General features: G+C 46.8%; 1 protein-coding gene and 1 long non-coding RNA gene across 7 annotated transcripts in view, besides 2 other annotated features; one reads left to right on the top strand and one right to left on the bottom strand.

The window, feature by feature from the left end:
- ZFAT (zinc finger and AT-hook domain containing) overlaps positions 1-27100 on the top strand; it is a 354552-nt gene that overhangs the window by 94596 nt on the left and 232856 nt on the right. For 5 of the 6 annotated variants that reach the window (NR_110323.2, XR_007060750.1, NM_001174157.2 and 2 more), the window contains exon 1: positions 24713-24899. Coding sequence is in view for 3 of the 6 variants with exons in the window: in NM_001174157.2 (NP_001167628.1) it covers positions 24881-24899 (19 nt within the window). In the remaining 3 variants the exon portion in view is untranslated. Of the gene's footprint in view, positions 1-20342; positions 24900-27100 lie in introns of those variants that run through there. The other variant, XM_047422062.1, reaches the window with a different exon arrangement.
- Positions 13834-15942, bottom strand: LOC124902072 (uncharacterized). Its single transcript, XR_007061187.1, has 2 exons — positions 15623-15942; positions 13834-14292 (listed from the first exon to the last, which is right to left on the bottom strand). It is a non-coding gene; the product is annotated as an uncharacterized LOC124902072 (long non-coding RNA).
- Positions 16925-17344: an enhancer, noted in NCBI's record as "active region_28021". NCBI's record gives its function as "activates an Ori minimal core promoter by ATAC-STARR-seq in GM12878 lymphoblastoid cells {active_cell/tissue: GM12878}" and the evidence as "EXISTENCE:reporter gene assay evidence [ECO:0000049][PMID:35858748]".
- Positions 24702-24881: an enhancer, noted in NCBI's record as "active region_28020". NCBI's record gives its function as "activates an Ori minimal core promoter by ATAC-STARR-seq in GM12878 lymphoblastoid cells {active_cell/tissue: GM12878}" and the evidence as "EXISTENCE:reporter gene assay evidence [ECO:0000049][PMID:35858748]".

Below are 27100 nucleotides of genomic sequence, written 5' to 3'. Positions count from 1 at the left end.
CTGATGGATTCCCAGGTCCATCCTGATTTGAGGTTAAAATTAATTCATTAGCCTTAGCTCCTCACTATCCGAGTCAGGGTACTCCCCACTGCAACCCCTGACCTAGCTGGGCAGTCCTAAGTTTTACCTGCAATAAGGTCCTAAAGATGTGTCCTGAGAATCAAATGTTAGAAAGGTGCTGTATCACCTAATTACTCTTTGCTTTGACCTTCCCCACTTTTTGTATCCCTTGAACTTTGTCCTCCCAGCCCCCATGACTGAACACACAGAGCCCTGGCTTAAGTTTGAAGAGCAACAGCATTTGGGCTTAGGAAGCTGCTGCTTTTGACCAGCCAGCATCTTACTATTCATGCCAGTATTTTCATTCCCTCACTCCATTTATTTTCATAAGGTAATAATTGTGGAGAGTACAACAGAACTACATTTTTATTTTTTTATTTTTATTTTTATTTTCATTTTTTTTGAGATGGAGTTTTGCTCTTGTTGCCCAGGCTGGAGTGCAGTGGCGTGATCTCGGCTCACCACAACATCTGTCTCCCAGGTTCAAGCGATTCTCCTGCCTCAGCCTCCTGGGTAGCTGGGATTACAATCATGCGCCACCACGTCCAGCTAATTTTGTATTTTTAGTAGAGACGGGGTTTCTCCATGTTAGTCAGACTGGTCTCGAACACCTGACCTCAGGTGATCTGCCCGCCTTGGCCTCCCAAAGTGCTGGGATTATAGGCGTGAGCCACCACGCCTGGCCAGAACTATGTTTTTACATTTTAAACAAAAGTTGGTCTAACAGCAGAACCTTTTCTTTAAATGAAAGCCTACGCAGAACCTCTATATACAATCCAATAAGAGAAGAATGGCTCAGGCCTGGCATGGTGCCTCATGCCTGTAATCCCAGCACTTTGGGAGGCTGACGTGGGAGAATTGGTTGAGCCCAGGAGTTTGAGACCAGCCTGGGAAACATAGCGAGACTTTGTATCTAGAAATAAAAAAAATTAGCTGGGTGTGGTGGTACGCACCCCACTACTCAGGAGGCTGCGGTGGGAGGATCACTTGAGCCTGAGAGGTTGAGGCTGCAGTGAGTTGTGATTGCACCACTGCACTCCATACTCCAACCTGTGTGAAAGAGCAAGACCCAGTAGAGAGAGAGGGAGAGAGAGAGAGAGAATGGCACATGTTAAAAGGCTTTGGGGGACCTGGAGCCCAGTCTATGCAAACCTTGCTCTGTGCGGCTGTGTGGAAGCCATCACTATCAAATAATACTTAATTTTGCATTCCATAATGTTTGTATAACAAAGATGACAACTTTGTTGAAATGGAGCTGTCAGATGGCAGGCAGGGCCACCATGTCACACCCTGATGTGTTTGGTTGCATCCCCGAAACCTCTGATATGTGAACATATCTACTTTGCACATGAAAGGTCGTCATGAGGGTCACTTATAACTCACGAAGAAAGGGCCAGTCAGCAGAGGGAAGAATAAACAAGGCCACCTGCAGTAGGTTGCTGGGGTGTGGTCGTTTTTATTTATTCTCTATCCCATCCCTTCTTCATTCCCTACATATGTACTTCCATTTTAGTAACTGGGGCCCATGGCTGGCTCCCCTCTCCCTGAATCTCGCTGTTGATGGACTTCAGTTCTAACATTTGGGACCCACTGAGCCTTGATCCCTACTCCTCGGCCATCTTTTAGGGCTGCTGAGACTCCAGTTTCCCTCCAGGACAGGTGGCTGGGCCTTAACCTTGCCTGCTTGACTCTTTGGAGCTGATGTCCTGCCACTTGAAATGATTCTAAAGTGTATATATCCATGATGGATTTACAGGTAATATTCAATAATGTTAGACCTTTTTTTTAAATTCTAAAAAATCCCAACTTGTGCTTTATTTTGCGTAACACTAGCATTAGTGAAAAATATATTTTAACCTACTGGGCTCATAGGGTCAGCTTTGCTTGGGTGGAAATGGTATAATACTGTCATAGTGAAGTATAAGCTTATATGCATTTAAATCTCTATTAGAGGCCTCATGAGTGATTTAATTTCATTTTATAACAAAAACAAAAAATGAAACACAATCCCACTCACTCAGGTTGCACTGGTTTCTCAGCATTTCACTTCTAGATTCAGGTATCAGAGGAGTCCCAATGGGAAGTCAAAAAAGGGAATAAAATTGAAAACACACACACCTACTTAAGAAAAAGCCAGTTGGAACTGCTGTTTTAATGGAAATACCAAATAGTCAAGTACTGTCAAAGATGGCCATTTTTTTCCTTCATTTTGAATTTTTGTAAATAAAGTGTTTTGTAAAAGGAAATCTTCATTTGATTGGACATAGGATCAGCTATAGCCTGCCCTCCAATCCCAGTGCTAGCCTCAATGCTGCTACTTCCCATGTGTAAGCTTTTGGGGAAAAGACTTCAGTGACTCTTGGGAGGATTTGGCCATGGCACCAGTGTCAAGGGTCACACAACCCTTTCAGGCTTAGAGGAAAGCTTGGGAGCTCTTGCTAGGAAAAATGCCCAGATCAACAAAATTTTCTATATAATTTTGGAGTGTTTTTATATCCCCCAAATCCATGGACCCAGATTTTTAAAACCCTCCTGTAAAATCTTTCCAACATTGACACAAAAATTATTAAGGCCCAACTCACAGTGACATTGGCCTGTGAAGGCACACAAACTGGACAGCCTACCCTAATAAATCATAGAGTAGGAACAGGTGACAAGCAGACACTTGCACCCACACTGAGCACAGAACAAATGGCAGGTGTGGTTCATGGCCCTGGAGACTGAGCTGTTGACAGACTTGAGAGGAACGGAGCAGCAAGTGTGGAGGCAGGACAGGGCTATGCAGATCTGATAAGAGGATTAGGTTACACTGCCCTTCCACTATTCCTAATGCCCTCAGACTGAGCAGCTGCACCAGCTCGCTCTTTCTCAGTTAGAAAAGTCTCTGTCGGAGCAGTAGCTGTGGGCCAGCACTCCCTGCTCCCGAGCACCTGCCTTTCCCGGAACACATGGTGTTAGGAATGCCGCCCCTCTGGTCCAGTTCCTGCATGCTCTGCAAGACAGCTCTCCTCTCAACTCACAGGAGCCACCAGCCTAATTCTGGGGGTGGTAGTTTAGCTGCTTCTCCAGTGCTCCCCTGGCATCCTGCCCACCCCTCTTTTACTGCACCCACCACACTGTGCCACGAGGGTTTGTTCATGCAGCTTCACCAAGATAACAAAGCCTTGCTCTGTGCACAGTGTCAGGCACACTATGACTACTTTTTAAATGTTTGTGAAATGCTCACAACTGTGTGATATATGTGAGCTGAAAGAATGTGACCTATATGATGCATGCAGGATGCAGACACTCTGGGGAGCCCCAACATTCATGAAAGCATCTTTCCTAAAAATAAAGACTGGTCACAAGGGTATAGGAACAGCCTGAAGTGGAGGGAGCAGCCCGAAGCGACAGGAGCCGCCGGAAGTGGCAGAAGTGGCAGGAGTATCCTGAGGTTGTGAAAGCAGCCTAAAGTTGCCAGAGTATCCTGAAGTGGTGGTGGGAGTCCCCTGAAGTGGGGGAGAGCAGCCTGAAGTGGCAGAAGCAGCCCACAGCAGAGGACAGACGGTGCCCCGACTAAGCATGAGGCAGAACACTAACAGCAGCGTCATGGCAAAAACCCCTTAATAACGGCGTCCTGAAGCAGGAGGGTAACCACACTCTCTAACCAGGATGAGCTCTTGGAAAGTTTAAGGGTTTCATCCAGGGATCTCATTTTCAAAATGCATCCCACAGACCTCATGTTTGTTAGGCCTCTGTGCTTTTATTTTCTTCGAATTAAACCTTTTGGCCTTCACCCTGAATGAGAGGGCCTTTGAGGAGCTGGGGTGGCCGCAGGACAAAGCTTGTCCAGTAAACAGGGCAGTCTTGGATGATGGGAAAGGAATGTTCCATGCACAAAACATCCCTCAAGCCATCAAGTCATGTCAGGACAGGTGATGGCACGGTGACCTACCAAGGACGAGACAAAGATGGAAAACTGGGTTTCTCATAGAGGGAACTTCAGAGGGACAATCAAGAGACACAGCACTGCCTCCACCTGCAAGCAACCACCTTTAGCTAGTCATCGTCCTTCTCAGCCTCAGTTTCCCTATCTGTTAAAGGAAGGCATTAGAAGTTGCATGTGTATTTTACCCACAGGCCAGTTTGTTGGGGTGAATCTTATATGATAAGGACAATAGGTCCAGCAGATAAAGAAGAAGGATCATAAGTGGGGCCCAGGGCCTCGCCCATTCATCCCCATTCCATCTCTGGCCTCAACACCCCAGGGGCAGGAAACTTTCTCAGGAACCCAGAAAACCATTGCATAAACTGCTCGTTTTACCCCAGGGAGTCTCAAACTCCAATGACCCCAAAAGCCGGATGGTCACCTAAAGCGTGATATTGGCTCATTTTGGCCGTGGAGGACTTGGGGACTTGAGAAGCTGTGCTTCTTCCCCAGGAGCGGTTGTTGCTGGACTCTGGCAGCTCTAGGAATATTGGCCCTATGTTCCCAGACCAGATATTTGCATGAAGACAGAAATCCAGATTTTTTCATTGAATTCACCTAATTTTTATAGCATTAGGAGATGATTTTTTGGAGCAGTTTTAGGATTACAGAAAAATTGAGTGTAAAGTATAGAGAATTTCCATGTATGCCCTCTTCTTGGCCTCAGTTTCCCCTCTAATGAACACCTTATATTAGTGTGGCACATTTGTTACAATTGATGAACCAATATTGATACATTACTACTGACTAAAGCCCATAGTTCACATTTGGGTTCACTCTTTGTGAGGAATCTCCTGTAGATTGTGACGGGGTATACTGACATGTACCCACCATTATAGGATCCTACGGAATAGTCTCACTGCCCTAACAAGCCTGTGCTCTGTGTGCCCATTCCTCTCCACTCCTCACACCAGCCCCTGGCAGCCCCTGATCTTTTTACTGTCTCTATAGTTGTGCTTTACCCGGAATGTGATGTTGCTGGAAACGTAAAGTATGTAGCCTTTTCAGACTGGCATCTTTCACTGGGTATATGCATTCCTTTCTGAAACGCTCCTAATTTTTAACTATTGAGAACTAATGGAAATTGTCACAAGACATTCAAAAGTAGAACTTCACCCTACCCCATTTTCTGAGTTGGATGAGTAGGTACCTTTCTCTTTCTTTCTACAGCTGGTACTGGGAGCAGGGGTTGTTGAGGGTGAGGGAGAGAATCTCAGAAGTAGAGTCGGACAGGAGGGGCAAGTGGCTCCTGATAGGAGAATGGTCTTAGTTTCCCTTTTGGACTGGCCCCTTGTGACAAGCCCCTTCCTCATCAGTCTGCCTGCCTTCTGGTCTCCCCTGGCTGCAGAACCTGCATCATCCAGCATCTTGTCTGCCCTTGCTTCTCCCTCTCCCCTCATCCCACTATGCTTGCTTCAGTGAGGAAAGCCACAGTAAAAAACCTGCAGAGCGGGCCTATGTCCCAGCTGTGCCCATGGTCAGGGCTTACCCAGAAGCAGCGGGCACAGCCTCATAAGATTTAGCAGCCCTGGCTGTCAGCAGCAGAAGCCAGTGATAACCGGATAATATTTCATAGTGTGGGGCTCACAGTTTATTTTTATACACATGCAATGCTCATGTAGGAAATGCCATGTTTGCATTTAAAGCCTGTGGAGGAAACCTAAGAGCCTGGGGTCAGGATCAGACAGAGCTGGGCTCAGGTGGCATTGCTGCTCCAGATAAGATGTATGATCCTGGCTAAGTTTGTACCCACTCTGGGCCCCTGTTTTCTCATCTACAAAAATAAGCATAATAATGCCTTCTCTGAGAGTTATTATGAGGAATGACTGTGACAAGTGCATTGCACACTGGAAACACTCATAGGTATGAATTCCCTTTCCTTTCTGGGAGCCAGAGGCCTGAATTTCAGTTCCAGTTTTGCTATTATCTAACTGTTTTATCTGGGACTAGCCGCTGAATCATAGACACACAGGCCAATAACTGCCCTGCCCCTATTTCTTTTTAAACTTGTTATTGAAAACCCTTTTTAAAAAATTGAAAACCTTTTTATATACATTCAGAAAGTACACATACCATAGCTGTGCACCTTAATGAATTTTCAAAAACTGAGCACACTGTGTATTCCATCTGCTTTTGTAAATTAAGGTTTTTTTGAAACACAGCCATGCCCATTTATTTCTGTATATGTCTATGTCTATGGCTGCTTTTGCACTACAATGACAGAACTGAGTGGTTGAGATGTAGGCCATATGGCCTGCAAAGCTGAAAATACTATCTGGCCCTTTACAGAAAAAGTCTCCTGATTTCTGTATAATATTCCATTGTGTGAATATACTAACATTTATTTATACATTTTACTGTCAATGAGCAGTAGATTGGGTAGTTTCTCACTTGGGGCTATTATGAGTAACCTGCTATGAAGTTCTCATATATGTGTTTGGCGAAAAATACATATGTGTTTCTGTTGAGTCCATTCCTAGGAGTGGAATTGTTGGAACACAGGGAAGATGTAAGTTTAACCTTATTAAAAACTGCTAGTTTTCCAAAGTGGTTGCACCATTACCTCTCCCACATGCAGTGTCTGAGGGTTCCCCTTGCTCCATATCCTTCTGACACTTGCTATTGTCTGTGTTTATCATTTCAGACATTTTTTCTGCCCCCGACTTTGATGCTTCTCCTCTCTCTAAGCTATTTCTGTTTGTGCTTGGACACCTCCGGCAATAGAGCATTCATGGCCTCAAGGGGCAACCGTTTCATCTTTGGATACTTCTGATCTCTTAGGAGCTTTTCTTCATATAGTAGCCCTTCAGATGTTCAAAAAATCAGTGCTCATATTCCCACGGAATGCTATCTTCCCCAGGAAAAGAAACCAGAATATTTCTAGCTTCTTTAAAGTTGCTCAAAAGACATGAATTTGCATGCCTTCGTCATCCTGGCTGCTTGATGAATATGTTTAGTTTCTCTGGGCTTCAGGTCCCCCATCTGTAAACTGAGGGAGTTCAATGAAAGGATCTTTAGTCATTTGAACTCCAATAATTTGTGTGAAATGTTGTCATGGGGACCCTTGAAGAGATGTCCGCACACATCTTTAAACAGGGGATCACACCAAAATGCTACTGTTAATGTCTACTGGCCACCTGCTGACAGTAGAGAATGGAGACGTTTATTTATTCATCTTCTCCTCTAACAAATTGTTCCTGAACACGGAGGATGTTCCACGTGCTGCCCTAGGAATCCAGGATGATGGGACTGATAAAGGTCTCTCTTGTGACAAATTCATCTCTGGCAGGAAGGGGGAGTGGGGAAGTGGACTGTGTGCCTGGGCAACTCTGTAGCATCCAAGGGAGGCTGTAACTGTGCCACGTGCACCTTTAAAAGGCGAGAGTCATGGGAGATGTCGAGGTTGATGCAGATAACTGCAAGCTGCAGGGTAGCTGGCTAGCTAGGCAAGGGAGGAGTACGTTGGGCCTTTGCCTTGTCACTGGGGGCATTGGGCCCGGGGCATTGCTCCCTCTGGAGATGAGGAGAGTGCAGGCTTCACCCTCAGTATTCCCAGAACTTCCTTTGTAGCAAGAAATTCCCGGGCCAGACTTCTCTTCTGCTTTCTCCCTGACACAAGTGGGAGCAGCGCGTAACAACCAAAGGCCAGGTCACCAAATCCAGATGGCAGGCAGACAACAGCCTAATCTAACTGACCCAAACACTGTCAAAATGCAAAGACAGGGAGGAGAAAATGAAAATATTGGTCAGGTTTGCAAGAAGCCAGATTCCACTGAATCTAATAGGAGCACAGCTTTGAATATTGCAAAAGAAAAATCCAGTTATTGTGTATTAATTCATGTAAGCGTCAGGACAAGCCCATGGAGTGGATACTCTTAAGTTTTGTTTTACAAACGGGGAAACCAAGACATACAAAGTTTTAGAATATGCCCAGGACCCAAGCTTGTGAGGGTAACCAGCCCATCAGGATTACAAACTCAAGCAGTCAAGCTTCAGAGGCATTGCTTATAAGGACGATGCTATTCAGGTGTAGTAACAGGGAGCTGCATTTGGGAAGAAAGTCCTCAGTGGCAGTCAGAAGCGGGGCCTGACAGCTTGGCCAACTCTGGTGGTAGAATGGTGAGGTGAGGCCGAGGTGGGTGGATCACAAGGTCAGGAGATCGAGACCATCCTGGCTAACACGGTGAAACCCCATCTCTACTAAAAATACAAAAAAAATTAGCTGGGCGTGGTGGCAGGCGCCTGTAGTCCCAGCTACTTGGGAGGCTGAGGCAGGAGAATGGCATGAACCTGGGAGGCAGAGCTTGCAGTGAGCTGAGATCACGCCACTGCACTCCAGCCTGGGTGATAGAGCGAGACTCCGTCTCAAAAACAAAACAAAACAAAAAAAGAATGGCGAGGTGGATGAAATCCCAGGGGCAGCCCAAATCCAGCCATCTCCCAATTTTACAGAGGAGCCTGGGAATGAGGGTCCCAGGGTCACAGAGTTTACTAAAGTAAATTGTAGTGTTAAGAGTGATGTAAAAAATCATCCTGGTCGGGCATGGTGACTCTGCCATTCAGGGGTCATGTCTATAAATTACAGGCCAGCGTTCTTTACAAAGGTATTAGTTAGAGATGAAGCTATTAGTTGGAAAAGATATGCATTCTTTCCTGATAGTATAATTCTCCTAAGAATATTTAAGGATTATTTTAAACTTTTGAATGTGACAATTAGTGTATAGTATATTGCCACAATTTCAAAATTGAAAATAAAAAGTCATATATTTTCTTTCACTTTCCATTAAAAAAAATCCAGAATGAGTAACTGGAAAAAAAGGAATGAACTCTCCAAAGCATCAAAAATTTACTATAAGAGGAGAGAGATATGTTATGTAATGCATAATTTACTTTAAAATGTTTTAGCATAAACATTCTTATATACGTGTGTGCAAACTGATTTTAATATAGACTCTGCAATTTTAACATTTAGAAGCCTTGCTCAGAAATGCAAACTTCAGGAGTGCTGCTATAAGTTATCAAAACTTTTGATTAGATCCTTGGCTAATTTTTCACCAGTAGTAAACATGGTTTAGGATCTGGGGTTGGATGTGCATCTTTGCAGGCACACCTGTCCTGGTGTGGATGGATGCAGGAGCCCGCTGAGCCCAGCATGCTCACACCCTCCAGAGTGGTGCCCTGGACTTGCAGCTGGGGATTTTCCAGCCAGTCCCTCTAAGATTGCTAAGAAGATTAGCTAAACCCTACTGCTGAATTATTGGTGTATCTGCTTCACATGAACCTTTCATGATTTACTAGATAGTCTGAAGGGCACAAAGCAGGGCCTCACAGACTTTTAGGAAAAGCTTGCATGCCTGTTTCTATATCTGCTTGCGTAGAAATATTTTGCACAATTCCATTTGAAGTCTGCCTTCCCTGTACATGCTACCTAGCAGAGATTGCCAGCGGGGTCTTTCAGGCCCTCACCTTCCTCCCTGTGATCATGGAAGGCTGCCAATAGCCACCGAGACCAGTCAGTTGTGAAGAGTCAACTGGCTTAAGCTTGGCCTTAGGAAAAATATTCCATAAAGTTAAAAAATTTAATATTGGAATCTCAAGTTTTTAAAAATAGAATTGCACCACTGGTAGTATATCCAGGTGAGGTATTATAGATTTCAGGTACTCCTCTGCTCATTACTCACATTGTACCTGGTACAGCATGTCTGCTCAGTACCAGGAGACAGGAGCACCCAAAAGTGGCCTGTTTGCTTGGCCCATAGCTAATGCTAAAAGAACAAGAAATGTATTTTTGATAATGATATTTATCATTATGATAAGTAGATTAGGGATTGGCAAACTATAACCTAGGGGGCAAATCTCACTTCCTACTTGGTTCTGTAAATAAACTTTTATTGGCACACAGCCACAGGGTTTTATTTACATTCCCTTTGGCTGCTTTCATGGGGCAGAGTGGAGTAGCTTCAGTAGACACCCTGCGACCTGCAAAACTGAAAATATTTACTATCTGGCCCTTTACAGAAAAAGATTCCCCGCCCCTAACATAGATGGATAGCCTTAGTTTCTCATCTCGTGACTTCTCAAAAAAAAGCCCTATTCATTTTGAAGTCACAAAACTGGCTTGACGTGTAAAATAGGTGGTACTTTAAAAAGCATTATAATTTGCAGTATGTTTTAAAATTTGGTTTTATACTTCAGAGTTTGTAGAAATCCCAAAAGGGCAGTTCCATGAGAGGAGGAGAGACAGGGTCTTCAATGATCAGAGAGAGAGAAAGGCAGATAGAGGAGACAGCGCAGTGACAGGACCCTTTCCTCTGCCTACGAATGAACTTGCCCCACAGCCGTTCTTCTCCTCAAACACAGCAGTGTCCTGACCTCAGGACCTTTGCACCAGCCACTTCCTCCATCTAGATCACTTTTCTCTCAGGTGTCCACCAGCCTGGCTCCTTCTTATCACTCAGGTTTCAGCTCAAATGTCGCCTACTTGCAGAGACCTTTCCTGCTCACCCACTCCAAAGATTCATTCACTTCACTTCCTGCAGACACATTCTAGAAAACATTACTCCTTGTTTTGTTTTTTTTTTTCTCCACTTCGTGTCACTCCTTAGATGAAATTATCTTGTGCTTGTTTAGCGTCAGTCATCCAGTTAGAGTGGGTAGCAAGGCAGACATGAGCAGGGCAGGAAAGGGTCTCTGCAAGGAAGGTTAGGCGAGCATCAGGTAATGGTCAGATGGTTGCTAAACTGTCTCTCTAAAATAATGATTGATCACAGCCAGTGCCAGGGAAAGGCAGTCTCTCAATAGATAGAAAATACCCAGCCCTGTGCGGTGGCTTCTACCTATAAATTCCAGCATTTTGGGAGGCGGTGGATTGCTTGAGCTCAGGAGTTCAAGAACAGCCTGGGCAAAATGGCAAAATCCCATCTCTACCAAAATACAAAAAAAAAAAATTTAGCCAGGCATGGTGGCGTTCACCTGCGGTCCCAGCTACTCAGGAGGCTGAGGTGGGAGGACTGCTTGCTGCTTGAGCCTGGGAGGTGGAGGTTGCAGTGAGCTGAGATCGCAGCACTGCACTCCAACTGGGGTGACAGAGTGAGACCCCATCTCAAAGAAAACCCTCCAAACCCTGAAGCTGGTGATCAGCAACTTCCCAATAAGACCTCAGGAGTTGGACTCAGGACTTGGGTGAGTGGGCTCAAGCATGTGCACTAAGAGGCAAATTGGTGGCGTTCAACTGGTATATATGACCTTCTTCTAGGAACACTCGACTGGTAAGGGGAAAATGCCTCAAGTGAGCATGTGCACAATTTCAGTAAACACACTGCACATGCAGCCCCTCCCAGAGGCTAGCAGGCCACTGCTCATGCAGTCAGCTTGCCCGACGGAAAAATCAAGGGAGGAGAGATGCAAAGCCCTGGAAGCATGCCAATGCATAAAACCCCAACTCAAAGGTCAAACAGGGCACTTGAATCTCTCAAGTTGCCCGCTTGGCCCTCTTCCAAGTTTACTTTACTTCGTTTCCTTTCCTGCTTGTCCTGAGGAAGGATCCTTCCTCAGATGAATTCTTTCCTTTGAGAAGCAAGAATCACGTTGCTGCGGACCCATATGAATTCCCCACTGTTAACAATTCCAGACCCCATGAAAGGAGGACTCTTGTCTGTTTCACTCACATTGTACCCACAGAGCCTAGGCAGTGCCTGGCACAACATGGGTCTTAAAGGAGAAGAATGAATTAATGGAATAAGTTAATGGAATAAGTCCACTAATTAATTCATTGATAGAATGAATGAATGAATTGAACGGATTAATGAACAGTTGACCGCCACACGGTAATTACTGAGTCCTGGCTCTCTGCTTCTTTCCCAACCCAGCCTGGCTTCACAGTGGTGAGCTGAAGGCAGAGCTTTTCCTGTTTATATGTGCATAGGACCAATGACTTAATTAACTTACCAAAAAGGGCTCTGGTTTGCCCATGCCACTTTCTTTAACTCCTATCTAGTTGCTTCGTTCATTCAATATGTATGGGAGGCCCACTTGATACAGTTTGGCTCTGTGTCCCCATCCAAATCTCACGTTGAATTGTAATCGCCAGTGTTGAGGGTGGGACCTGATGGGAGGTGATTAGATCGTGGCGGTGGATCCTTTGTGAATGGTTTGGCACCATACCTTTGCTGCTGTTCTTGTGATAGAGTTCTCATGAGATCTGGCTGTAGAAAAGCGTGTAGCACCTCTCCCCGTCCCTCTCTTGCTCCTACGCTGGCCATGTAATATGTGCCCATTCCCCCTTCATCTCCTGCCATGATTGTAAGTTTCCTGAGGCTTCCCCAGAAGCTGAGCAGATGCCAGTGCTATGCTTCCTGAACAGCCTGTGGAACCATGAGCCAATTCATCCTCTTTATAAATGGCCGAGTCTCAGATATTTCTTGAAAGCCGTCTGAGATCAGACTAATACACCACTCTTTGCCAGGCGCTTGAACTTGTGCCCTGAGGCAGCTTACAGTTCTGAGGGAGAAAGTAGTTAAACGAGCCATAACGATATGTGGGATGGGGCGGTACAGTGTGCCCAGGAAACGGGCAGGAAGGATGGTAGCCTTAATCTGCAGGGTTGGGGAAGCCTTCTCTGTGGAGGTTACCTCCAGCCCAGAGAGCTGGAGGGAGATCTGCAAAGAGGAGCAGGGGTAGGAGCAGATGGGGGGCTGTTTTCTCAAGCAAGGCCCCAGGGAGGGGCTTTAAAGAACCTGCAGAGGTGCAACTGCAACTGAGCTTGCGGTGGAGAGCACAGGTGGAGAGGTGAGCTTGGTTGCCAAGGACTTCCATGGGTGAGAACTGCTTGGACTTCAGTTCGCAAAGGGAGAAGCGCTTTAACTGGGGAGTGTGGGGTGAATTCCCCCACAGCCCATGGTAATCTTGACTCTGTAAGGGGAAGGGAGGCGAGTTTCTCCCCCTTGCTATAGACAGCTCCCCTTTGAGAGCTTCTAGCCTGCACTGTGTAACTTGACTGGCAGGTAACGTAACTGATAGAATGATACCCAGGGCAGGCTAAAGAGGTTCTGGGACTTTAAGTGACGAAACCAGGAAAGGCCCAGACCACCCGAGACCAGTTGGCCACCTACCAGCAGGGCTGCTGTTCAACCCATATACATGAGTTATGGCCATGGTGGTTATTATACTAACGAAATCTTTCCCTATTTAGTGATTTAGTAAATAGCACCTCTTTAAGCCCTGGCCCTGTGTCCCCATACTCTTGGCAGTATAGCCCACTGGCCCCAAACTCCTAGGACCTTCTTTCTCAGCTTCTAAAATTAAAGGAGTAACCCCTGGCACATCAGGGGCATGCGTTCTTTCTGATTAGCCAGTGTCCATGCTGTATCTATTGACAAATGTCACCCTGGGTCACCTGTGTTCCATTGTCCTTCCTTCTGCTATGCCTTGACTGGGCTTGGAGCTCACTGCATCTCCCTGCCTCTCAAGATGCCTACCCAATAATTTACAGGGCAGCTGCCATCACCCTCCAAGATGGTGACCAATGCACAGTCCCAAAGTTTCTTTACATGTCCACCCTCTGGAGTTCCTATGCAGATGGCACCTGAGCCTGCTTATAGAAACTGGCATAAGATTCTGCATCAAGAGATGCCCACCAAATGCCACCCCTGACTCCTAAGAATGGAAGTGAATCAAGTCTAGCTCTAAAGTGTAAAAGCAGCTGCGTAGGTTTTTGTCCACGTAGATAGCTTGAGGCAGCATAATGAAAGAAACTAATCCATCACCTCTTTTATGTGAGACATTGTTTTTAAACAATAGGCAATATATGAGATTTCCATGGACACTTTATTTTCAGGGTTATCAGTTTTCTCTCAGCTGTTACAGCAGCATTTCTCTCTGAGCCAGTTACTGCGGGAACTTCATAAATGTGCTTCTGAAGAAGGGTTCTGCTTGTCCACCCTGTTACAGGTTGAAATGTGTGTTCGTCAAGTTGTTCCTCATGCAGGAGGTTAGGGAGGTGACTGATCCCAGAGGCTCAGCCCCCCATGGTCCCAGTACAGTGAAGGGGTCCTCAAGGGGTGTCTTCAGGTTGGCTTCAGACAAGGGGAGACTCTGGCAGGAAACCAGGAGGGCAGGAGCGGAGTACGGTCTGGGCATTTATTCCTCAGTCTCCTTCTCTAAGTCGCAGAGTATTGGTGGTCCGTCTTGCTGAAGGTGGACTCCTCTGCACAGGCCCTGTCCTGGCCCTGGGTTCCAGCGGGCACTCCCTCCGCATGCCTGCAGGCCTGGGGTGAGGCGAGGTTGCAGAAGGGCTGCATCATTCCTCTCTGACCTCCCAAAACCCTGCCCACACCTTTGTAAAGAGCCCCTTCATTAAATGCTCCTCCAATTGCCCAGCTTGAGGATGCCCTCTGCCTCCCGCTGGAGGCCTGGCTGCCAAGGAGCTGAGGTGGAGCGATGTGATAAGAGGGAGGTCCCAGGCGATCCTGGGGGATGGGGATGCTGACAGTGCTGCCTGCAGTCAGGCAGCTCACAGGAATCCCTGTTACTCCAGGGATTGGAGCAGTGTTCACGTCTGTTTCTCAAGGCCTGTGTACTATTTTTCTGTGACTGCTGTAACGAATACCACAGACTGGGTGGCTTAAGCAACAGGAATTTATGTCCTCACCATTCTGGTGGCTAGAAGTCCAAGATCAAGGTGTCAGCAGGGTTGGGTTCATTCTGAGGCCTCTCTTGTAGAAGGTGGCTCGTAGATGGCCACCTTTTCTCTGTGTCTTCTGTGTGTCTCTGTCCTAATTTCCACTTTTGGAATATGACCCTGGCCATGTTGGATTAGAGTCCACTCATGACCTCCCTTTACCTTAATAACCTCTTTAAAGGCCCTTTCTCCAAATGCAGTCACATTTGGAAGTATTGGGGGTCAGGATTTCAACATACGAGTTAAGGGGGGCACAGTTCAGTCAATAACACGTTGTAAGCCCCTCAAGGTCGAGGACAGTGTCCTTTGCAGCTCCATCTCCAGGTGCCTGATTCCTGCCCTGTCACTCAATGCTTATCCTGTGGTGTGACCTTAGACAACTCCCTCCCCTCCTCTGCTTCCTCATCTGCAAAGTGAGAGGTGGGCTCTCAGCATGTGCTTCAATGATTTTGAGACACTTGAGGTGACACCACGGATCGTTTCTTATTTGCCTTTTGGACCAGCTGTGCTACATCTCATGATCCAAGCAGCTGTCTTGGCAATGTAAGCTGCCAGTCACGAGGGCCTGGCCAGGTGAGAGCTTGTACACAGTCCTCTTTTGTCTTTGGTGGAGGCTGCCGGGAACAACTCAAAACAGCCACCTGAATGATGCTGGCCAAGAGAGCCACCCTTGAATGCGATAGGGCAAACCCGGTTTTCTTATACTCTTGCCTCCCCTTATGATAAAATTCCCCTGTGCCTGGCATGCTATTTCTCGCCTAGGCTGTCCCTTCTGCCTGAAGCACAGTTCCCAGGGACTCTCCACCCCTCTGAGGTGTGCCTCCCACATCTTCCCATCTCCTCGGGTGGGCTCTGTCCCGTTGCCATTGCTCCAGAGCTTTTTTTCTCCCGTGAGTGGTGTGCTGTATGACACTCACCTTGTTAGACATCACTTCCTCCACTGGGCTGTGAAATCCGGATCTGAGGACAGATCCTGTGGCCTCACCTGTGCCTCTTTGGAGCACACTTTGGGCACCTGGTGGGCACGCCATAAATGCTTAAGGAATGAATGAATGGCCTGATCCCTTTTTCATAATGAAGTCCTCCAAATGTTATTCAGTGAACTTGCTGACAGTTTTTTAAATTTTCCTACACCAAATTGTCAGTTTCTTACCAACTTCTTCAACTGTGAGGGCTGAGGTCATCTGCTGGGAGAGGGCACAGGGAGGTGAGTCCGTCCCTGCTGCTGGCCTGCAGGAGTCCCCTGTTCAAGAGAGAAGTCAAGTATGTTACAAGATATGGTACAATATGTAAGAATCACGGAAAGGGGCGATGGGAGCCATTAACTTGCCTGGGAAGAAGGAGGGTTTCACAGAGCAAGGACATTTGGTCTGAGTTTTGAAGGATGGAAAGGAGTCCAGCAGGTAGAGAAATATGGGTAAAATGTTCTAGACACATGCAGAGGCTCAGAGTTGTAAGAAGGCTTGGCATCTCTGAGAAATGGCGAGCCGTCGGGTGCAGCATGGCTTGTCTGGTTTGAGATGAATCATGTATGTGCACTATAAACACCCGAGTGCAGCTGCCTCCACTCCCTGTCATCCTCTTCCGTCAGCCTGTGAGCTCCTCGGTTTGAAAGGCATGCATGAGAATTCTGTTAAGACAGGAATCTTCTTCCTCTTACAGCAGCATCAGTGGTGGAGGCTAGGCAGAGGCTGGCAGGTGCAGCAGTTGGCACTGGTAGAAGGAAAGGAGCTGACCATTTCACATCGGGCCCGGGTGCTCAGCAGCACGCTGACTGGTTGCTCAGCAGAAACCCTGGGACATGCGGCCCGTCCTGGGTAGAACACAGGCCAGTGGAATGAGTGGGCCAGGCAGCTCAGGGCACAACGTTGTCACAACGGGGCTTTCTTTCCTGTGGTTGCTCTCACCCCACACTTCTCACTAAACACACGTAGGGCTGGCACCCTCCCTGGACAAGTGGATGATAGAGCCACAGCAGAAAGGCCGGGATGGATGAGCTCATGTTTCCAGGCCCCAGCTTGCCGCGTGGTCTCACAAAAGTCCCTCAGCCCCTTTTGTTCTCTGTTCTTTCATCTTTGGGAGGAGGGTTCTTATTCATGCCCTCCCGACCCTACAGGATGGTGTGAAGGCTATGTGAAATGAAGGGCATGGAAAACTCTAGAAGACTGGGCCCATACCACCATTATTATTTTATTCCGTTTGATTTTTACTCACTTTGGCAGCAGCAAGAAGATTCACTCCCATAGCAGCTACCTCTGAACTCTACAGTGTATGTGGTCTGACAGTAGCACAGGTTAACTGAGAGCAGAACAGAGTATTTGCCTTCGGGATTCTTCTGGAAAATGCCTGCTTACTGCCAACTGCGGTGCTTTCTGCAAGGTGCCCTCTTGCGGCCAGGCCCGCCCTGGATCGTCCTCCTTGGCACCGTTTGCTTCTGTGGCTTCCTACTTTCAGAAGGGCCTCCTGGCTTGTCTTCCGTGTTCCAAATTCTCATCACACTTCAGATCTCGGCCAAGTTTCTCTTTTTTTCTTCAGTAAACTTTCTTTGGTTGAAAGACTCTTGGAGTCCAGCCAAAGGTCTGTTTATCTCATTCCCCTTTTGCTTCTGGGGAAGTAAGCTTAAGACTACATCCTTCCCCCAAATGGACTCATCAACTCTCAAAACCCTCCCTGAAACTGAAATTTTAGCTTCCCACAATACTAAGTTATCTTTTGCTGCCCAAAAAACTACTCCCACACTTAGTGGCTTAAATCAACAACTGGTTATCATGTTTTGCAATCCTATGGGTTGACTGGTTCAGCTGGGTAGTTCTTTTGCACAGTGCAGGGTTGCCGAGGTCACCCATGTGGCTGCATTGGCTGGGGAACAGCTAAGATTGAATGTCCATGAGGACTCCTGTCCTCTGGGTTTTCTCTCCATGTCCTCTCATCATCTGGTAGTTTAGCTTGAGCTTCCTTACAGCATGGATGCTGGCTTCCAGAGGCGGCGTTCCAAAGACCCAGTGTCCAAGTGCTTATCAAGTTTGTGCTTGTGCTGTTTGTGTTCCATGGCGAAAGCAAGTCACATGGTCAATCCCAAAGTCAGTGTCAGAGGGGATTACACTAGGACATGATTACAAGGAGGCATAGTTCATTGGGGGCCACCATTGTACAGACTGTCTAGGTACCTCTCCTTTCTGTTGGCCTTTCCAAAAACGGCTGAAAGAGTGAACATTTGCCTGGCACCAGGGTCTGGGTGATTTAGGTAAAGAGACCACCAGTTTCTCCTTTCTGCAACGTCCTCTTCCCCTCTGCACATTCACAGCTGGAAGCGATGGTTCTGTGCTGCAAACTCCCTTGGGGGCTTTTTTTCTGCCTCTGTTACTGCACTGAGTCATTTCCAACCAATATTAAAATCATGTTTTATGTCTGTTTTTAGCTGAAGTGAACCATCTAGTGTCATTGCCACTCCCCACCAGTGCCCTTTTACAGATGAAAGAACTGAAATCCAGAGACTTTAAGGTCACTTTTTCGAGTTCTGCAGCGAGCTGGCGGCAGCCCTTAAATCAAACAGCACCCTGTATGTTGGCTCTCACCCTCGCTGCTGCTGCTGCTGGGCTTCTTTGGTCCCCAAAGGGGCTGAAACCACTTGATTCGCCCCCACCCGTGGCACTCAACTGCATTTTCTTGTCTCATTTCCCTTCCACCAACCCCTGATGTGGGGCTCAACACCTTCATTGCCCAGAGAAGGGAAGCACATTGCAGATAAGTAAGTTGTCCAAAGTCAAAGCTACTGAGTAATAAAAGGAGGACCAGACCTGGAGATTGGGCTTCCAAATCCTCCCCCTTCTTCTCTGAAAAGGCAGTATATGCATATGGTTAAACATCCCAATATTTCAAAAGGATGTTCAGTGAAGTCAGTCTCCCTGTGAGCCAGATCTCCAGGCCCAGACATTGTCTCCAAAGCTGTCTGCTCTAGCCGGTTTCTTTCCACATTTTCAGCTTTTCTGTGCAGGTACAACCGTGTTCACAAGCGACAGTGTGCTCCCGATGCTGTCCTGCACCTGGCTCTTTTCACTCAAGGATGCACTGCAGAGCACACCCCGGGTCTCTGCACGTGGCACTCTCATTCTTTCAAACTGCCACGTCATATTTCCCTGTATGGCTGAACTATCCGTTTAACCAGCCCTCTAGTCGTGGACACCAGATGCCATCCTTTATTTGAAATAGTTATTTTCTCTTCTGAACATCCAAAGCAGTGCTGTTTATGTGACAGCTACAAATAAATGCTTAATTACGTATTATTCCTTTTCCTCAATCCCTTACTGCATCTTTCCCTCCCTCTACCCCTTATCCTTTTCTTCAACAACGGTTTATTGGGTCCCAGCTGTGCACCCAACAGTGCTAGGCTCTGGTAGCTCTCCTGGTTTTCCGTTTCTTTGCTGGGATCCAAATCCCACTCCCTGCCCCTTTTTTCATGGCCCTGTTACTCTTATTCATAGTTGATTTAAAGAAAATTGGTTATAAATATAGTCACCCTTTTCCTAAACTATTTTTTTTCTTTGAGACAGGTCTTAATCTGTCGCCCAGGCTGGAGTGAATGGCGTGATCTCGGCTCACTGCAACCTCCACCTCCTGGGTTCAAGCAATTCTCCTGCCTCAGCCTCCCAAGTAGCTGGGATTACAGGTGCATGCTACCACACCCAGCTAATGTTTTATATTTTTGGTAGAGTTGGGGCTTCATCATTTTGGCCATGCTGCTCTTGAACTCCTGACCTTGTGATCCTCCTGCCTCGGCCTCCCAAAGTGCTGGAATTACAGGTGTGAACCACTGCACCCGGCCTTTCCTAAACGATTTAAATACAACTGATAAATCAAAACTTAAAACTTTCAAAATAAAATTTTCCTAAACATTTACACAGTCAAATTATCTTGTTTCAATGTAACTGTCGAATGTAACTTCGAAATGCTTCAAATACCTTAAAATTTAACACAAAAGTTTTTACTGCACCATACCTAAACCTACTGCACCCATACCTTAACTTTGTAAAAACAGTTGTTATTACACTGGACATGGAGGCTCATGCCTGTAATCCCAACACTTTGGGAGGCTGAGGTGGGCAGATCACTTGAGGTCAGGAGTTCAAGACCAGCCTGGCCAACATGGTAAAACTCCTTCTCTACTAAAAATACAAAAATTGGCTGGGCATGGTGGCAAGCGCTTGTAATCCCAATTACTTGAGAGTCTGAGGCAGGAGGCCTGAATCCTGGAGGCGGAGGTTGCGGTGGGTTGAGATCTCACCACTGCACTCTGGCCTGGGTGACAGAGGCGGATCACGAGGTCAGGAGATGGAGACCATCCTGGCTAACATGGTGAAACCCCGTCTCTACTAAAAATACAAAAAAAAAATTAGCCGGGTGTGGTGGTGGGCGCCTGTAGTCCCAGCTACTCGGAAGGCTGAGCAGGAGAATGGCATGAACCCAGGAGGCAGAGCTTGCAGTGAGCCGAGATGGCACAACTGCACTCCAGCCTGGGCGACAGAGTGAGACTCCGTCTCAAAAAAAAAAAAAAAAAAAAAAAAAAAAAAAAAAAGAGTTGTTATTGACTTGACCAATTTCTTTGTCATCTCTACAAAACATATTTTTATACTTTTTCAGGACTGCCCTTATTGGACCACAGAGAGAAAGATGATCTCCTTCCCAGGTGCACTGAGTGGCAGCCTTGGGCCTGGACTGGTGGGTTCTTGGTGGCAGCAGGCATTTGCTGGTGGGGGCTCCCTCAGACCATTTTCAACTATTAAGTCAAGAGGACTTACAGCAAGTTCTTGCAATCTTCACTCCCATGTGCATGAAGTCTTGGGTCCATGATGTTCTGCCACAGTTTACAATGACCTTCATTATGCATCATTAGCATTTCATTAACATTAGCAGGGCCATATAGCAGTTTAATCTATCAGCTACTCCCTTAGGACATCTGGCTAATCCATTAACTTCCAACATAAATTATTGAACCCCCCTTTTAGCTGGTTATTTATGAGACCACTGGTCCTGACCTGCCCTTCCTGGTTTTGGCATGGTTCCTAGTCTTCTGGAAGTCTTTGACTTACTCTTAGTAAACTTATCTGCCCCTCGAAACTTACACAAATATACCATTTCATAAACAGACATACAGAACTTCAAGTAAGAAATAGGACCCCATATCTACCAAACCTGTCTCTTTACTAAAATATCCTATTTTGACCCTTTCTTTGAATTGTAACTAGTTTTGTAATTACACAGTTATATGTCTATTTTTGCATATACAATGTTAACTTTTTATCAGTAAAGCCTCATGGCTCAACTTGTAGATCAACAACCATAGATCTACAGTTGTTGTGATATGCAAATTGTCACTGCCTCTTCCTTTGTCCTTTCAGCACTAACCCAGCATTTTTGGAAGGAACCTGGTTTTCTGAGAATAGCAATATGTTTCAGGCCATTCTGATGTTCCCTTACTCCCACACATGGAATTAGCTTCTTTGAAGGGGCCCTGGCTACTGCTAATGAAAACCACTCCGGAGATTAATACTTGGGTACTGAGAGTACACACAGGTGTGCACAGGCAGACCGGGGATGTGATGGCACTCCATGGCCACTGGAAAGACAGGTGGAAAAGATGCTGTTTCCTAATCTTGTAATTATGTTCATAGTGAGATTGCTCATATAGTTCTAGCATTACTACATCCTTCTCTTTTATATGATTTTTAAGTGGATTATTTTCTACAATGTGCCTATTTAGATTTTTAACTGTTAACCCAAACTGATTATTCCCACCTCTGATTTTATCATTTTATAGATATATATGTGTGTGTGCATACATATGCATATATATATATATGTGTGTGTGTGTGCATATATACATATATATATATATATAAATAAATTTTAGGGACAGGGTCTTGCTTTGTTGCTGCCCAGGTTGGAGGAGTGCAGTGGCATGATCACAGCTTATTGCAGCCTTGAGCTCCTGGGCTCAAGCAATCCTCCAGCCTTGGCCTCCCATAGTGTTAGGATTACAGGCATGAGCCACCATGCCCAGCCAAGATCCATTATTTTGAGGTCGCCTGTATGTATCCTTTATCAAAACCTTCTTTCAAGAAAGCATCCTGTGAAATTATGTTCCTAAATTATTGTTTTCATGTAAATGTCTATTTCTCATAAAGATATTGGATATAATGATAAAATTATTGACACGAATATATTCAGTTGTGCAAATTATATTTCTTATATAACTAAATACCATTTCATGTCGATAAATTTATTGACACAAATTAATTCACATACTAGCTTCAAGAGGCCAACTGCCACCAGTGGTCAGCTGGGAAGCCGCTCTCTTCTAGGAACCATCACCGAGGCAGCTTGCCATTAATTATATACTTTCGAGTGATTTACATCCAATTCCACAAATGTGTCTTCATTAATTGAAGGCATTCTGAAATATTACTGGCAAATAGAAAGAATAGAGATGTTTGCTGATTGAAAATGTGCAAATCACATAGTAAGGCCGTGGAAGAGCCAGCTGTGGACTCATCTCTCCATTTACGAACCTGGATTCCCCCACAGAAAGGGGCCATCTCTTAGTCATTTCCATCTGCCTATGGCCAGGACAGTTTCCAGTAATAATAGGTGCTCAGTAACTCTTCTCTGAATGATGAATGGGTAGGAGGAAGAAAATGCCATGGGAATAGTGGAGAAAATCATAGCTTTCCAAATAATTAACCCAGAACCATCATCCACAGTCCACAATTTCTTCTTTTAATTTGTCTTCAGCAGTCTGAGGTAATTGGGTTTTGAGACAAATTTTAAATTGTTTCATTTCCAAAATTCGTTTGGTCACAACATCTAGGAGCAATCCATCTGCTAATCAATAAACAACATTTAAACGCTGCTGTGAGAAAGGCAAACCGGCACAAAACCAATACTGTCAGCAACCCAGAACAACTCTAATTTCCTGACAGAAATCGATTCACAGCAAAATAATGATTATTGTAAATATTTATAGTTCTAAAAGGAAACGCTCATCAATGCAGCTTTTTGAGCAGTTCATTTCCAAATAAAGATTCTGATGGGCCCCACCTAGCCATGTATCTTGTGGTGGAGGACGTGGTGGCTGTGAAGCGACTCTGTGGCTGTCTTGGAACTGGCTCTCTTGGAGGCTCTCCTGGAGGCCTGGGGGGCAGTTTGGGTACATTTTAGATGTGGTGGGGAGAGGAACACTGGGCATGGAGAGGCGAGATCCACACCTGGCTCTTCACTATTTTGCTGTGTAATCTCAGAAAGCCATTTGACCACTCTGAACATTCCATTTTCTCATCTGGAAAAGGACAATAATCATATTGCCCAACTTAACCTTCCAGATTGCGAGGATGAAATGAAGAAGGGGGAGGCTATATCTGTGAGCATATATTTAACAGACTGGACAACTTTAGGGTCTTTTCATGGTTCCGTATTTCCCAAGAACAGGGTTAAGGAGCAGGCGGGCAGTCTCCTGAGAAATCAGATGAGTCATCCTGAAGCTCAATGCCCAAGGGAGTTTTCCTCCTAAAAAATAAGTGACCCCAGAACGAAGTGTTCATTCAGTAATATGACTATGCAACAGGCGCTGAGAAAACAAGATGAAAAGGACCTATAAGGGCTGCTCAGGAAGCTCAGTCTAGTGAGGATGAACGCTGTGCAAACAGAGAAGTGGGGGATGGAGCTAGGCCAGTGAGACCAGAGCTGTGGGAACATGAAGTGTGAACTTCAGGGCTGTCCGAGAATTTCATGTTGAGCAGCAACCAAAGAGGGTTATTCCAGGAAAAGAAGAACAGGCAAAGACTAGCATTTCAGGGGAACCATGAACACAAATCAGTTTCCCAAACTTCAGTCTCCTGAAGTCTGCTTTTACACTTTTTTTTTTTGGGGGGGGGGGGGCATGTCTTTGCAGCATGTACACCATTTTAAGTTGACTGATTTTTGAAAATGTAAACGAACAATTTAAAAACTTTATATGACTACTGTAAGTGAAAAACGTTATTTGTCATGAACAGAAAATGACCTTAGAACATGGACCACATCAACTCATTACTCATGAAATAAATAACTGTCAGGCTCAGTTTGTTTCTGAGGCTAACGGGGTGACCATTGACAGAGGTAAGGGAGGGAGATAATGACAGATAGGAATGGATGCTACGTAGAAAATATGAAGTGTCTTGGAGGGTTACTTTAGATGGGTTTCGGGGGGTGAGGGTTAGGGGCTGGAAGATATCATTTGAGCCGAGGACTACAGTGTTGGAGCTAAACACCTTAACATCAAAACCAAAAACAAAGTCATTAAATTTCCACCAGACTCAGCTGCCTGCCGAAGGCTGTGCCACAAGCAGAGAAATGAATGAGCGGGTGTTGGAGGCGCGCACATCCAGTGCAGACTTGTTGTGGGACAAAAAGAGACGAGAGAGGAGGAAGTCGCCTTGTCACGTGTGATCGTAGGCCGCTCAGTGCTCTGTAGCCCCTAAAACCCAGCCGGGTGGCCCAAAGGAAAGCACCCCACGCTTCGGGAAACGCCGCAGCTTTGAGCGGGATGCAGGTTGGGAGCACCCCGATGGACACATCAGTAAACTGAGAGCAAGAAAAGTTAATTCGCTGCCCCAAGTTAGGTAGTGAGAGGTAGAGCTGGGACACGAAGCGCACCCAGAACTCTCCTTGCACGCCCAGCTCGGCGGCCCCACATGCCGCGGGTCTAGGGTCGCGCTAGCAGAGGCCTGGCACAACCGCCAGACTCCTGACCCCGAGATCCGCGCTCCGGACCTCCCGAGGGCCCCTCCCTGGGCGTGGCTCAAAACGCGGCGCAGCGGAATCCGTGAAGTGGGATAAAAAGCACGGCCTCCGACTGCGAGCATGCGCGTTAGCTCGGCCCTGCCGGGCCGCGCTCGGCGCCGGGGGAGGGTCACCCGAAGCGGACGTCCGCTACGCAGGCGTCTGCGCCCCGTGGGGAGGAGGGCGAAGACTCCATCCGCCATGTTGGATGCCGCAGATTCGCCATAACCTCGCCGGCTCTTTTCTTAAAAAAATAAAAATAAAAAGCGAAGCGTCAGCAGGGCGCCCCGCCCCCTCGGTCGGCACGGGAGGGGGCCCGGAAGAGCCCGAGGCTTTTTTTTCCTCCGCGGTGGGGCGTTGCCATGGAGACGCGGGCGGCAGGTGAGCCGGGCTGGGGGTTGGGGTGAGACGGGGTGGGGGTGGGGCGCGGCGCGGCGCGCGGAAAGCCGTTTCGAGCGTCGAGTCGGGAAGCAGTGCGCCGGCCGCCGGCCGCCGGCCGCCGGCCGCGGAGGGATCCGGGTCTGGGGAGGAGAGCGAACGTAGTTGCGTTCTGCGGCTCACGTTCAGTCGCTGGGGTATCCCGCCGCAAAAAAAAAAAAAAAGCAAGGCGGGAGCGAGTGGGAGAGCATGCGCCCGGCCGTTTCCACGGCAATGGGTGGCGTTGGGGCGCGGGCCAGCGACGGAACGCAGTGGGCGCGAGGTTCGAATCCCGGCGATGCCAGCTCTTTGACTGGACCTTGGCGGGGCTTCCTTCTTGCCTGGCCTCGGATTCCTCCTTGGCGAAATGAGTACCTCCTGCAGGCTTCCCGGCCGCCGGCTGGACCTAATAGAGTGACAGATCTTCCACTTGACACCCGGTGCAAGTCATTTAACCTTGAGCTTGGGGTCCTTCACCTGTAATTACCACAAGCTTCCACATTTGGGCACTGACTTAACACGTTTTGCTGCTCAGCTCTCTTGAGAACTCTAATTTGTAGGTCATTTATTATGAGGAACAGAAGTTCAGAGAGGTCAACTTTACACAGTTTAAAAACGACAGAGCTGGGGCTTTAAAAATTAACTTCCTCCAACTTGGGCTAAAATCCAAACTCCTGCGTGCTCGCCTGACTTGTACCTCCATCTTCTTAGAATAGGGCTTGGCTCATGTAAGTGTTCACTATATACTTAGTGAATGAAAGAACGAACGCGCTAACTGATCACGCCTGCCCATCAGTCTGGCTTTTTTTGCTGGAGTCCAAGTGACCTTTTGGAGATGCCCCGCACAGCTGCCTCTCACCAGCTTTATCTTCCGAGCCTACCAGTTCATCTACTGAAACATCTGTAGTGTGTGTCCCCATGCTGAAGGAAGTAGCGTGTCCTACCTCTAACCCCCAGGGACACCTTTCCTGACTTTAGTTCAAATAACAGCTTTGCAAGGATCCCCTCTGCACGCCAGGCAGGGGTAAAGAGCAGTCCCAGTCGTAGTCCTGCCTCCACCTGCTGCGGTGCTAGATGTGGGAGAATGTGTCCTGGAGTGACAGAGTGGGCCCAGAGCCGAATATTGGGTCAGGAGACCCGAACTATATCAGGCGTGCTTTTTTTTAATTTAATTTTTTTAATTTTTTGGGACAGAGTCCCGCACTATCACTCAGGCCGGGGTGCAATGGTGCAATCTCGGGTCACTGCAACCTCTGCCTCCCGCCCTCAGGTAAACCTCCCGCCTCAGCCTGCCAAGTAGCTGTGACCACAGGTGCGCTGATTAGCTGTGGTGCCCAGCTGATTCAGGTGTGCTGTCTTAGGTTAGCCTAAAATGAGCACCGGAGAGACTTGCTCTCCAAATACAGGTTGAGCATCCCTAATCCAAAAATCCGAAATCGGAAATGCTCCAAAGTCTGAAACTTTGAGCACTGACATGAGGCCACAGTGGAAAATTTTCTATCTGACCTCGTGAAGGTTCTCAGCAGAAATGCAGTTCCATAGCCGGGCGCAGTAGCTCACGCCTGTAATCCCAGCACTCTGGGAGTCTGAGGCGGGAGGGTCCCTTGAGTCCAGGAGTTCAAGACCAGCCTGGGCAGTGTAGTGAAACCCCATCTCTATTTTTCTCAAAAAACAAAACAAAACAACAGTTGCACAACTGTAAAGACGATGCTGTTAACACTCAGAAAGAAATGCAGGCTGAACAGCAGACTTAAAGCCAGCCGTTGTTTATTGTTCTGTTGTTTAGCAGCTGATGCATGTGTTCTGGTGATGCTGCTGTGCCGCTTAGGTACCTTGAACACCTTGTTTTTCACTGTATTAATGGTGTGTCATATTTTTTACTGGTAAGGACTTATGTGTAAATAAATGTAAGAAAGTGATTGTCTTATTGGTAGCATAGAAATTCAGAGTCGGGAATGATGGCGATGCCAGACAACCACAGATTGCCCATATGTGTGGCTGAGATAGTGACACCTTTGCTTTCTGATGGTTCATTGTACACTTTGTTTCATGATCAAAATTAAAAATATTGTAAAATTACCTTCAGACTGTGTGTATAAGGTGCACATCAAACATAAATAAATTTCATGTTTAGACTTGGGTCCCATCCTCAGGTTATCTCACTA

Source organism: Homo sapiens, chromosome 8, assembly GCF_000001405.40.
Source record: "Homo sapiens chromosome 8, GRCh38.p14 Primary Assembly".
NCBI lineage: Eukaryota > Metazoa > Chordata > Mammalia > Primates > Hominidae > Homo > Homo sapiens.
Note: the sequence above shows the minus strand (reverse complement) of the source record. Positions and strands in the feature narration are given on the sequence as shown.